This window comes from Homo sapiens, chromosome 13, assembly GCF_000001405.40.
Source record: "Homo sapiens chromosome 13, GRCh38.p14 Primary Assembly".
NCBI classification, from domain to species: domain Eukaryota; kingdom Metazoa; phylum Chordata; class Mammalia; order Primates; family Hominidae; genus Homo; species Homo sapiens.
This window is the reverse complement of record NC_000013.11, coordinates 72,666,683-72,679,967: the sequence shown is the minus strand read 5'-3', so window position 1 is coordinate 72,679,967 and position 13,285 is coordinate 72,666,683.

Genomic DNA, 13,285 nt, shown 5'->3' with positions numbered 1-13,285 from the left:
ACGTAGGTCATGTTTTTCAGCCAAATGAATTCAGACCAAGTCCAATTCTGCCATCAAATGAGTTCCAAAAAACAAGTCTGTGATTTCAGAACTTTTTAGATTTTAGAATTGTGGATAAGTAATTGTGGACTGCACTTGTTTTTAATTTTTTTTTTCTCAGGCTGGCGTGTAATGGCGTGACCTTGGCTCACCACAACCTCTGCCTCCCAGGTTCAAGCAACTCTCTTGCCTCAGCCTCCCAAGTAGCCGGGATTACAGGTGCGTGCCAGCACATCTGGCTAATTTTGTATTTTTAGTAGAGATGAGGTTTCTCCATGTTGGTCAGGTTGGTCTCGAACTCCTGACTTCAGGTGATCTGCCCGCCTTGGCCTCCTAAATTGCTGGGATTACAGGCGTGAGCCACTGCGCCTCGACTTTAAATTTTTATTGTGATAAAATATATACAACAAAATATTCCACTTGAATCACTTTTAAGTGTACAATTCCCTGGCATTAATTACATTCACAACTTTGTGCAGTCATTATCACTAATTATTTCCAGATGTTTCCATCTTTTCAAACAGAAATTCTGTAGCCATTAAACAATAACTCCCCATTATTGCCTATTCCAATCAATAGTCTCTGATAACTATTCTCCCCTCCTGTGTAGTCCTTGATAACTTCTAATCTATTTTTTTGCTCTATGAATATTTCATATAAGTGGAATAGATATTTCATATAAGTGGAATCATACAATGTGTATCTTTTTGTGTCTGGCTTATTTTACTTAGCATAAGCTTTTCCAGGTTCACCTGTATTGTAGCATGTGTCAGAACTTCATTCCTTTTTATGCTGAATAATATTGTACTTATGCGTTTTTGGCTGGGTGCGGTGGCTCACACCTGTAATCCCAGCAGTTTAGGAGGCCGAGGCAGATGGATCATTTGATGTCAGGAGTTCAAGACCAGCCTGGCTAACATGGTGAAACCCCATCTCTACTAAAAATACAAATAAATTAGCTGGGCATGGTGGCGCAACTACTGAAGTCCGAGCTACTCAAGGCTGAGGTAGGAGAATCGCTTGAACCTGGGAGGCGGAGGTTGCAGTGAGCTGAGATCGTGCCACTGCACTCCAGCCTGGGCGACAGAGGGAGACTCTGTCATAAATAAATAAATAAATGAATAAACTAAATTGTGAAGATACATTACTAAGAACCAGCATTTATTTCAAAATGGACATTCTTTTACAGTTCTGAGAATTGTATAAATCACAATTGAAGTAAAAGTAGAAGTGGATACATTTACAAGGGGTAATAGCATCTGAAAACCTATCTTTTATAAGTACTATGGCACACTGAAGTTAGTTAAATATTTCTGAGTGGTTGACTTAGAGACTTAAATAAAGAGGAAACCACTAATCTAGCCAATAATTCAGAAATGAAGCTATGTAGATTTTGTAATGGAAACAGCACTGAAACTTAATTTGCTTTTCCTGGATTTTTTCCCAGTTTTATTTTGTTTGAGAGGAAATGACATTTTTCTTAATACTAACCATTTTTTTTAACTAACAAAGACAATAATAAATAAATGTCAGAACTGTTTGTTGATTTAAAAATCTCGTGGATGGAAAACATGTGGATTTTTATAAGGTTACTTTGTACCCCAGATACATGAAAACTTTTCTGTTCATGAACTTCTTCAGAGAGTTTACACATCACAATATTTCAGTTTATAAAAATAATCTTGGTTCCATCCATTAATTTATTTCAAAATATTAATTTTGTTTTTGAAGTGGGGGAAATATCACCTGTGTACTTTTAGCTCCAAATAAAAATTGTGCTTGTAAATTATGGAAACATCATAATCTCCTTGATATTTTCTTCTGATAATATCTCATTTGGAAATATTTAGAGAAAAATTAGAAACTAAAACAAATTAAAAACCCTCCTTCCACAAAGAAACAGAACAAGTGAAAACCCTGAAACTATCTCATTATTCAGCCAATGTTCCAAATTAAATTAAATATGCAATGTGAGAAAGAAGGTGGGGAAATGTACTTGGAAGATGAATGAAATGACACTGAAAAATTTAAAGATGAAGTAAAATGGAAAATTCTTAATTGTTGATGTTGTTTCTGAATGTTCCTCAATAAGGGGTTACATAACTGTGTTTTTCTAGCCCTCTCTTCCTTCTTCTGATCTTTGAAGTGTGTCACTCTTTCATTTTGCCATTCAATAGTCTGACATGCAAAAGCTTTGTTCAGACAGTTTAATTTAATCACTGCCACTGGTTCAACAAGATGATAAAATCCTCTGTGCTGTACAACATCCAACATCCAGCTCACTGTTATCTGATACTGTTTGAAGCTTCTCTCATGAATGCATGCTGATAACACAAGAACTCCAAACATGTCATAAACAATATATTAATGCCCCAGTTGGAATTCCATTAGAATAAGAAATAGATGAAGTTTAGGCCATTCAAGTGGGCCAAGGTAATAAAATGTAATTTGGACTAATCTTCCCAAAGAATGTCCTGTGTTTGAAGCTGACAGTCTCCTATCACATGCAAAAGTAATTGCTTGTTGACTGCACTGCAGACTTTTGAATCATGGCCTTTGTACTTCATCCACCTTCCAGGTGTCTCAGCTAGAAGACAATCTGCCTCTTTGTTTGAACGGAAAGACACTAAATTATAAATAATAAAACAAGCAGTGGGTACTTTAATGAATATTGCTAATCGAGATTGGAATTTGTGGAAATCTGAGACAAAAGTAAAGTCAAAACACAACAGAATACTTACTCTTTGAAGTGTTAGTTTCCATAATAGTGTCTTTAAGTTTTGCTAATTTAAAAGATATGAAAATACCACAAATACTTAAGCATAGAATGCTGACTCAATTTAGAAAATTCAAAACTATTGGAGGAAAGATGCAATTATATTTTTACAAAAAAATCCTTTATAAAAGATCTATGAATTTTTTTTCTTTTTTTAAACTTTAACTCTGCCAACATTTTTGTCTTTTTTTATTATTTTTTTTAAATTTTATTATTATTATACTTTAAGTTTTAGGGTACATGTGCACAACATGCAGGTTTGTTACATATGTATACATGTGCCATGTTGGTGTGCTGCACCCATTAACTCGTCATTTAGCATTAGGTATATCTCCTAATGCTATCCCTCCCCCTACCCCACAACAGTCCCCGGAGTGTGTTGTTCCCCTTCCTGTGTCCATGTGTTCTCATTGTTCAATTCCCACCTATGAGTGAGAACATGCTGTGTTTGGTTTTTTTGTTCTTGCGATCGTTTGCTGAGAATGATGGTTTCCAGTTTCATCCATGTCCCTACAAAGGACATCAACTCATCATTTTTTATGGCTGCATAGTATTCCATGGTGTATATGTGCCACATTTTCTTAATCCAGTCTATCGTTGTTGGACATTTGGGTTGGTTCCAAGTCTTTGCTATTGTGAATAATGCCACAATAAACATACGTGTGCATGTGTCTTTATCGCAGCATGATTTATAATCCTTTGGGTATATACCCAGTAATGGGATGGCTGGGTCAAATGGTATTTCTAGTTCTAGATCCCTGAGGAATCGCCACACTGACTTCCACAATGGTTGAACTAGTTTACAGTCCCACCAACAGTGTAAAAGTGTTCCTATTTCTCCACATCCTCTCCAGCACCTGTTGTTTCCTGACTTTTTAATGATTGCCATTCTAACTGGTGTGAGATGGTATCTCATTGTGGTTTTGATTTGCATTTCTCTGATGGCCAGTGATGATGAGCATTTTCTCATGTGGTTTTTGGCTGCATAAATGGCTTCTTTTGAGAAGTGTCTGTTCATGTCCTTTGCCCACTTTTTGATGGGGTTGTTTGTTTTTTTCTTGTAAATTTGTTTGAGTTCATTGTAGATTCTGGATATTAGCCCTTTGTCAGATGAGTAGCTTGCAAAAATTTTCTCCCATTCTGTAGGTTGCCTGTTCACTGTATGGTAGTTTCCTTTGCTGTGCAGAAGCTCTTTAGTTTAATTAGATCCCATTTGTCAATTTTGGCTTTTGTTGCCATTGCTTTTGGTGTTTTAGACATGAAGTCCTTGCCCATGCCTATGTCCTGAATGGTATTGCCTAGGTTTTCTTCTAGGGTTTTTATGGTTTTAGGTCTAACATTTAAGTCTTTAATCCATCTTGAATTGATTTTTGTATAAGGTGTAAGGAAGGGATCCAGTTTCAGCTTTCCACATATGGCTAGTCAGTTTTCCCAGCACCATTTATTAAATAGGGAATCCTTTCCCCATTTCTTGTTTTTGTCAGGTTTGTCAAAGATCAGATAGTTGTAGATATGTGGCATTATTTCTGAGGGCTCTGTTCTGTTCCATTGGTCTATATCTCCATTTTGGTACCAGTACCACGCTGTTTTGGTTTTAGTATTAAAAAATATTATCTATGAGAGGATTGCTGGCCTGATTAACTTAAATATTACTTCTTGTAGAGACTATTGAGAGAACAAAAATCTTGCTTATAGCCACTGAACAGTAATACTATGTTAAAAAATAATTATACAGTTCTTACTCTGTCCAGGTTACTGTTCTAAGAGTTTTACTCTTTAAGCCTTAAAACAGCCCATTTTATTTACAGATGAGGCAAAAAGAAGCTGAGTAATTTGCTGCAGGTCCTATAGCTATTGGTGGAAATGGATTTAAACTCAGGCGGTCTGTTCCAGGGTGTGTACTCTGAAGAATTACGCTTCTATTGCACTCAGAAAGGGTCAGGTTTATGATACCATAAAAACCATTTTAGAAATTTGATTTTGGTGAACATTGAAAGTGGGGGATGGTTAATTTACATGATTGTCAGAGTGATATAATATGCAAATATGAGCATGTTCATTCTCTGTATAAATCTAATCAATGGTTCTTGTTAACAGAGCACGGAAGGATCCTCTGCAAATCCAATTTTCCCTTCTGCACTTATCCTGCATGCTCCTAATGCTCTGGCGACAACAATTATTTGCAGTCAATGGAATTCCTTTTTTTCTGACTTCAATGAGCTTTTCATTTATTTTGAAAAAGGTGAATATTATGTAACAGCCTCTGTATCTAGAAGAGATCTATGAAGAGAACAAAGACCTCTACCCTTATGGGGCTTATATTCTGCTGAAGGAAGATTGACTAGAAATGAGCATCATTGATAAGTAAATTACAGCATGTTAGAAGGAGGCTGGGTGCGGTGGCTCATGCCTGTAATTTCAGCACTTTGGGAGGCCGAGGTGGGCAGGTCATCTGAGGTCAGGAGTTTGAGAGCAGCCTGGCCAACATGGAGAAACCCCGTCTCTACTAAATTAGCTGGGAGTGGTGGCATGCAAAATTAGTGGTGGCATACAAAAATTAGCTGGGAGTGGTGGCATGCGCCTGTAATCCCAGCTACTTAGGAGGCTGAGGTGGGAGAATCGCTTGAACCTGAGGATTGGAAGTTACAGTGAGCTGAGATCACGCCACTACACTCCAGCCTGGGTGACAGAGTGAGACTCAGTCTTAAGAAAAAAAAAAGATAATAAGCACTATGATGAGGTTAAAGCAGGAATTGAGAATGTGAGGTGGTAGTTTGGTGGTAAAGGTGAGATGCAATTTCATATAGGGTATTTGGGGTAGGTGACATTTGAGTAAGACTTGAAGGAGAGGGAATTAGCCACGTGGGTATCTGGAAGAAAAATATTCCAGCAGAGAAACAGCCAGTGCACACACCCTGGTATGGGAATGTGCTTGTCCTGTCTTAGGAATAGCAAGGAGACCAGTGTGACTGGATAGAAATGAGTAGGATGAAGGAGTCTAAGAGATAATGGTGGCAGGGAAGGGAGAGAGGGAGGTTGAAGGGCTTAATCTTGAAAGTCTTCTAGACCATTGTAAAGGCTTCGGCTTTTAGTTTCAGTGAAATGGAGAGTCATTGCAGAGGACCACCATGATCTGACTTACATTTTGAAGTGATAATGCTGGATGCTATGTTGAGAAAGGACTATAGAGGGTGGCAAAACTAGAAGCAGCAAGGCTAGGAAGGCTTCAATTCCACATGCGAGATGATGGTAGCTTTGAACAGCAGTGGTGGTGAAAAGTTGTCAGATTGTGGATAAATTTTGAAGGCAGAAACAACCGTCTTTCTGGACAGTTTGGATAAAGGTATGAGAAAAGGAGAGGAGGCAAAAATGAGTCCAAGTCTTCTGTTCTGAGCAATTGGAAAGATGGAGTTGCTATTGACTGATGTGGGGAGGGTTTGGGGGAACAACAGGGGTTGTTTGGGCCATGTTAACTTTATGCATTCTGAAATGCCCCTTCCAACTTTTGCTGCCTGCCAGGCTGCTCCGAGTCTTTTAAAAATTGTCGCAGGTTTTCCTTGATCATTAATTACCTCCTTTTCGAGTAGAGTAATTTGTTTTCTTTTGGACCCAATAGCATACTATGTAAACCTCTATGAAGGCCTTTTTCACACTATTGCACTTGATAAACTTATCTGCCTTTCTGCTAGACTCTGATGTTTCAACTCTATCCCCAGTAGCCAGCACTATTCCTGGCATATAATAGAGGGCTCAATTACTATTTACAGAATTAATAAAAGAGTGAAGCCATTATATGCCCAACTAGTGATATTATAATTTGTAAAAATCAGAACATTGTACAGAAAACTAGGGCTTTAAGTAAGAAAGCCGCCTATGATGCATTCTTTTCCTACAAATTTCCAGGTAGCTGATTGATCGCAAACTCATACTTACAGTTTTATGGATCCACAATAGGTTCTACCAATGTTTAAGATCAGGAATTGATTCATCATTATAAAGCAAATCTTACAGTTTTCTCACATCCTTTAGCTCTATTTCCTGTTACCTCTTGTTATAGGTTGAAGTATGTTCTCCCAGATAGAAATGTTGAAGTCCTAATACTCAGTAGCTCAGAATATGACCTTATTCGGAAATAGGGTCTTTGCAGAGGTAATCAAAATGAGGTTATTAGGGTGGGTCCTAATCCTCTACGACTAAGGTCCTTAAAAAGGGGGAAATTTGGACTCGGAAAGAGATATTGCATAGAGAGAAGATGATGTGAAGAGGCACAAGGAGAAGATGCCTATATGACTGGAATAATGAGTTTACATGCCAAAGAATGTTAAGGATTGCCAGCAAACTCCAGAAAGTAGAGGAGGCAAGGAAAGATCTTCCCTAGACCCATCAGAAACAGAGCGTGCTGGGCTAACACCTTCGTTTCAGACTTCTAGCCTCCAGAACTGTGAGAAAATAAATTTCTATTGTTTTAAGGTAACTAGTTTTTCTTATTTTATTATGGCAGATCTAGGAAATTAATATTCCTTTTCTCTATTTCTTCCTAGTGGCAAATCAATGATCACATGACCACACAGTCTTGTACTACATTGAAGCAACATAGCATTGTGTTTAGGCACATGCCGTCTAGTTTCTGATGGCTTGAATTCAAATCCTGGCTCTAGGAATTACTGGCTATGTGACCTTAAGCAATTAACTTATGAGCCCCAATTTCCTGTACTGTAAAATAGAAATAATAATGATGATGTCTACCTCATGGCATTATCATGAGACTTAAATGAAATAGTGCATATCAAACATTTAAATTAGCTTTAAAGATTAGCTTTTAAAAGCCAGTTAAGATTCCTAGGTGCACAAACAAGAACTGTAAAATTCACTTGAGAATGTGAGATCAGTAATGGGGGTGCCACATGCACCAAGAAGTTTGAAAGTAAGATGCTGTGAATTCGGACTCCATTAAACAGACTAAACTCAGTAGTTTATGATGAAAATATTTTCTACTTATTTGTATTTTCCTTGGTCTGAAAGATTCCAGTAAAGCAAAAAAGGAATTAGAGCTTCATTAAAAAATGGCTTTATTGGCCGGGTGCGGTGGCTCACGCCTGTAATCCCAGCACTTTGGGAGGCTGAGGCGGGTGGATCACGAGGTCAGGAGATCGAGACCATCCTGGCTAACATGGTGAAATCTTGTCTCTACTAAAAATATAAAAATAAAATAAAATAAAATTAGCCAGGCAAGGTGGCGGGTGCCTGTAGTCCCAGCTACTCGGGAGGCTGAGGCAAGAGAAGGGCGTGAACCCAGGAGGCGGAGCTTGCAGTGAGCCGAGATTGCGCCACTACGTCCAGCCTGGGCGACAGAGCAAGACTGTCAAAAAAAAAAAAAAAAAAAAAAGTCTTTATTGAGATATAATTAGTATACAATACACTACATATATTTAAAGTTTACTACTGGAAAAGTTTTGACCTGTGGAGTCATCATCACAATCAAGATGATGATCATGTCAATCACACCCAAATATTACCTTATCCCCTTTTGTACTTCCTCCTCATACCTTTTCTCCCAAACTCTCCTACTGTCTTCAGCCCTGTCCCAGAAACTGCTGATCTACCTTCTGTTACTGTAGATTAGCTTGCATTTTCTAGAGTTTTATATAAATGGAATCACACACAGCATGTACTCTTTTTTTATCTGGGTTCTTTGACACAACATAATCATTTTGAGATTTATCCATGTCATTCTGTGCATCAGCAGTATATCCCTTTGTGGCTCGTTTGTATTGTATGAATATATTACCCTGTTGGGGGACATTTGGGTTGTTTTGAATTCTGAGCACTTTACTTAATCCATATGAATTCAAGTTTCCTCTATGGTAAAATAGAAATGATAATAATGACATATTTGCAATTACAAATGAAACTATGAACACTCATGTGCAAGTTTTTGTATAGACATAAGTTTTAATTTCTCTTTGGTAAATAGAAGGATACAATGGCTAGATCATATGGCAGGTGTCTATTTAACATTTTAACAGACTGCCAAACTGTATCTGAAGTGGTTGTACCATTTTCCACTCCTGTTGGCAGTGTATGAAAGTTCCAGTTACTCCACATTTTTGTTGACACTTGGTATGGTCTGTATTTAAAATTTTAGACATTCTAATAGGTATCTAGTGGTATCTCATTGTGGTTTTAGTTTGGAGTTCTCTAGAGACTAATAATAATTACCATCTTTTTATGTGCTTATTTGCAGTAAGTGTATCTTCTCTGGTGGATGTCTGTTCAAATCTTTTGCCCATTTAAAAATTACATTGTTTTCCATTTTTAAGAGTTTTTATATATCTAGAAATGAGTTCTTCTTTATCAAATTATGTTTTGCAAATATTTTCTCCAGATCAATGTTGATCCGTCTTTTCCTTCTCTTTACAGCATCTTTCAAAGAGCAGAAGATTTTAATATTAATGAAGTCTGATTTATCATTTTTATTTTTCTTTTACAGATCCTGCTTTTTGTGTCATATCTAAAAAATCTTTCCTTAAGCTAGGGTGACAGAGATTTTTCCCCCTAAATTTTCTTTTGGATATTTTATAGTTTTAGTTTTTACATTTTAGTTCTATGCTCCATTTTGAGTTAAAATTTTTTTTTAACATGGTGATGGAAAAGATTTACTAACTTGGATTTTCCCTTTTTTTGGAAGACTCCAATAAATCAAGAAGGGGCTAGATCTTCCTTTTTCTTTTAAGTCCTATTGTTCCATAGATGAGCCAACTCTAATTTTTTAAAATTAGTTTTTTTACCTAAGTTACTATTCTGCTTAACATTCCAGCTCTCTAAACATCATAGTTAATCTCACACTGTGGACAAACAGTATTTTCTCCAGAAAATGTGTGCCTCAGAGGAATTCTCATCATCTAAGGAACTCCTGGGCTGCAAGTTTGTGGGTTTAAGAGGCAACTTAACTGTTACTTTAATGTTTCTACTATAGCCTAAGTGGATTATCTGTGTCTTGAAAGGGTTAACATGCCTTTCTAAGAATTTGAATGATGACTAGAAAATAACAGGCACCAGGGAGAATCAGGTTCAGAATTATTTTCTTAAGATACGTTGTTTGTATTTTCTTGTGCAAACTAGTTACTGCAAATCTCGTTGGCGTATTGAGTAAACCTAAGTCCTTGATTCATTGCATTCTCATAATGGATGAACAGCAAAATTGGATTAGATGGAAAATAGTTCATATTTGCTCTGTATTTTTTTTTTTAATCTAAGACTTCACTTGGCTATCTCACTGCTCAGTTATTTTTTTCCTTACAAGCATCCCTTGAGTACAAGAAAACAGCTTTAGTGTTACTAATTTCAGCAATTTTGAGTTAATAGAATTAGTAGTGTTACATATAAAGTCATTACAATGGCACTGCTTTGCATATTTTTAGCTTCCTTGGACTTTATTTGCAACACCATTACTCTATTATATCTTAGGGAACAAACAAACTACTTAATATATGTGGCTTTGGTCCTCTGAAATTCATCGCATATATCAACGGCTATAAAAACGCTTTTCAGGAAGGAATTCCAAGAGATTAATTATTTCACGTTCTGTCTTAGGAAAGTGACCCAAAAAATCAATCACAATTGTTTTATAAATATGCCTACTATGCACCAAGTTTGTGCTTCCTCTTTTAACAAAATTTATCCATCCATTAAGTCATAGACAAGTAAACAAAAATGAATTGTCATTTTCATTATTTTATTAGTGTCATAGGAAATTATGGCATATTATTGACTTCTTCAAGAATATTTTACTTGAGAGGCACAGTTTAACATGCACAATTCAAGATCAATATTGAATATGCATTAATTTTTTTCAAAAATGCTGCAAGGCAATTTTTCTCTACAAATTCCCTGTTGGTATTTACAGTTCTATAAAAAATTATCAATGTGACCAAATGATAGTTTAGCTAAGCTTTAATTATAAAAAATGGATTGTTATTTGCATTGCTGCTTTGCATCCCAGATGTATTTACTAACCACTTAATTTATTTGTTCACCCTTTGCCAAAATAAGTCTAGAAAGTTGGAAGCATTTTTCTGACTTGATTCATTTCAATACCACCAATTTTTTTTTTCATTAGGGATCCCTAGTAATTGAGGGATTATTACTTTTTACCTCCAGTGGATATGCGAGCTTCATTGACACATTCTAAAACCTAGTCAATTGTGTAATATGAGCAGTCACAACTAGCGTATAGACTAAATCATTTGCAGAGGATTGTACTTTAAATATAAAGATCCTAACATTCCAAAATCATATTTTAGGTTTTATGACATTTAATGTTCAGTTAGTTAATTATGTCACATACCAAGTGCCCTTGTGACAGTAGTGGTAGGTGCTCATGCTATTGTTTTTGCTGTTAATGAGGACAATATGATAACATGGTAACTCAAGATAATATGGCATATCTATCTTTTAAAATTCCTTTATGCATGTTATCTATCCGGCTCAAGTTACTTTTTTTTTTTTTTTTTTTTTTTTTTTTTTTTGAGACGGAGTCTCGCTTTGTCGCCCAGGCTGGAGTGCGGTGGTGTGATCTCGGCTCACTGCAACTTCTGCCTCCCAGGTTCAAGCCATTCTCCTGGCTCACCCTCCCGAGTAGCTGGGACTACAGGTGCGTGCCTCCATGCCTGGCTAAGTTTTTGAATTTTTAGTAGAGACGGGGTTTCACTGTGTTAGCCAGGATGGTCTTGATCTCCCATCCTCCTGATCTGCCTGCCTCGGCCTCCCAAAGTGCTGGAATTACAGGCGTGAGCCACCATGCCCTGGGGGGCCTGCTCATTTTTCTCTGAAATATGTTCTTTAATTCTGCTTGGATGATTTTGAAATTCTTAAATAATTTTTAAGCCGGGTGCGGTGGCTTTGGGAGGCCCAGGTGGACAGATCACCTGAGGTTGGGAGTTCGAGACCAGCCTGACCAACATAGAGAAACCCTGTCTCTACTAAAAATACAAAATTAGCCAGGCATGGTGGCGCATGCCTGTAATCCCAGCTACTCCAGAGGCTGAGGCAGGAGAATTGCTTGAACCCGGGAGGCGGAGGTTGTGGTGAGCTGAGATCATGCCATTGCACTCTAGCCTGGGCAACAAGAGCGAAACTCTGTCTCAAAAAAAAAAAAAATAAAATAAAAACTCTCTTTTTTCTTTAATTCATTTTCTATATTGATTTTAGGTTTCTGAATCTTATTTAAAGGACTCTTATATTTCTAACTATAAGCACATTCTTTCCCTAAATAGGTAATGAGTTCTCCAAGGGCAGAGACCACTTTTTATTCTAATTTGTATCATCTACCATCTTATGTAGGACAACCACTCAATAAATTCCTGTTGAAGGGATATATTTCTTATTTTCTTTTTCTTTTAAAAAGTAGTTCATATCAATTTCTTAGTCTTTATCTTATTTTTCGGTTTCCAGATCTTCATCTTCTTTGAGGGACGTGAAATGGGAGAGCTCTGCAAGAGAGTCTGGACACGCAGCGCTGCCATGAGACATTGCACTTAGGTTGATTTTGTCAAGTTGAAAATTTCTTGAAATTCACCAATTACTTGTTCAATTATAATAAGGCTGACCCTATGTCTTGGTTTGCCCAGGGCAGGCCCAGATTATGTGTTGTCCTCATGTTCCATCTGATCAGCACTTCATTTCACTGTCATCTTCCTTATAATTCTCCCCAGGTGTTTTTGCAAAATTTAACTCTCTTATGTAAACTTTCTCAAACTCCTGGACTCAAGTGCTCTGCCCAACTCAGCCTCCCAAAGTGCTAGGATTACAGGTGTTAGCCACGGTGCCCTGGTTGCTCTTATGTAAACTTTCTACTTCCTTGTTTTCTGTGACTCTGTTCCTTTCATTTTAGTCTTCTCCCTGCTGCCTGCTCTTTTTCTGGAGGCTTCTTCGTCACTTCCTTAACGTTTGCATTCTATCAGCCGCCTTTTCCTTATTGGGCATCTGTTAGAATCTTGTGGGTTCAAGTCACTTCCTAGAAACATATATTTTCAGCACAGACTCTCTTCTGAAGTCTGGTCCTGCCACTTAGGCATCTCCACTGGACAGTCCCACAGAATATAACACGTCCGGATATGAAAGTCATCCTTCACTTGGAGCTTTTTTCTGCTGTTGTGTTTTCTATTCTGAATAAAGCCCTCAATAGTCCCAAGATCAACAAGACTTGAAACTTTGAGTGTTCTCTCTCACACACGATTTGTTACAAGGCCTATAGCTTCTATTTTTACACCATCTTGTAAATTTGATTATTCTCCCCATCTCCTTTAAGTCCTTATTATCGAACAATTTGATGTATTGCAATAGCCTCATAATTTCTAGTCTCTGGCTTCTCTCTTTTCTCTTCTATTAGATAGTTTTGCCAGAAAATATCTTTCTGAAACCTCCGTCAACTTTCCAATTCCTAAAGAGTTCCATTAACTTCTTAGCTTC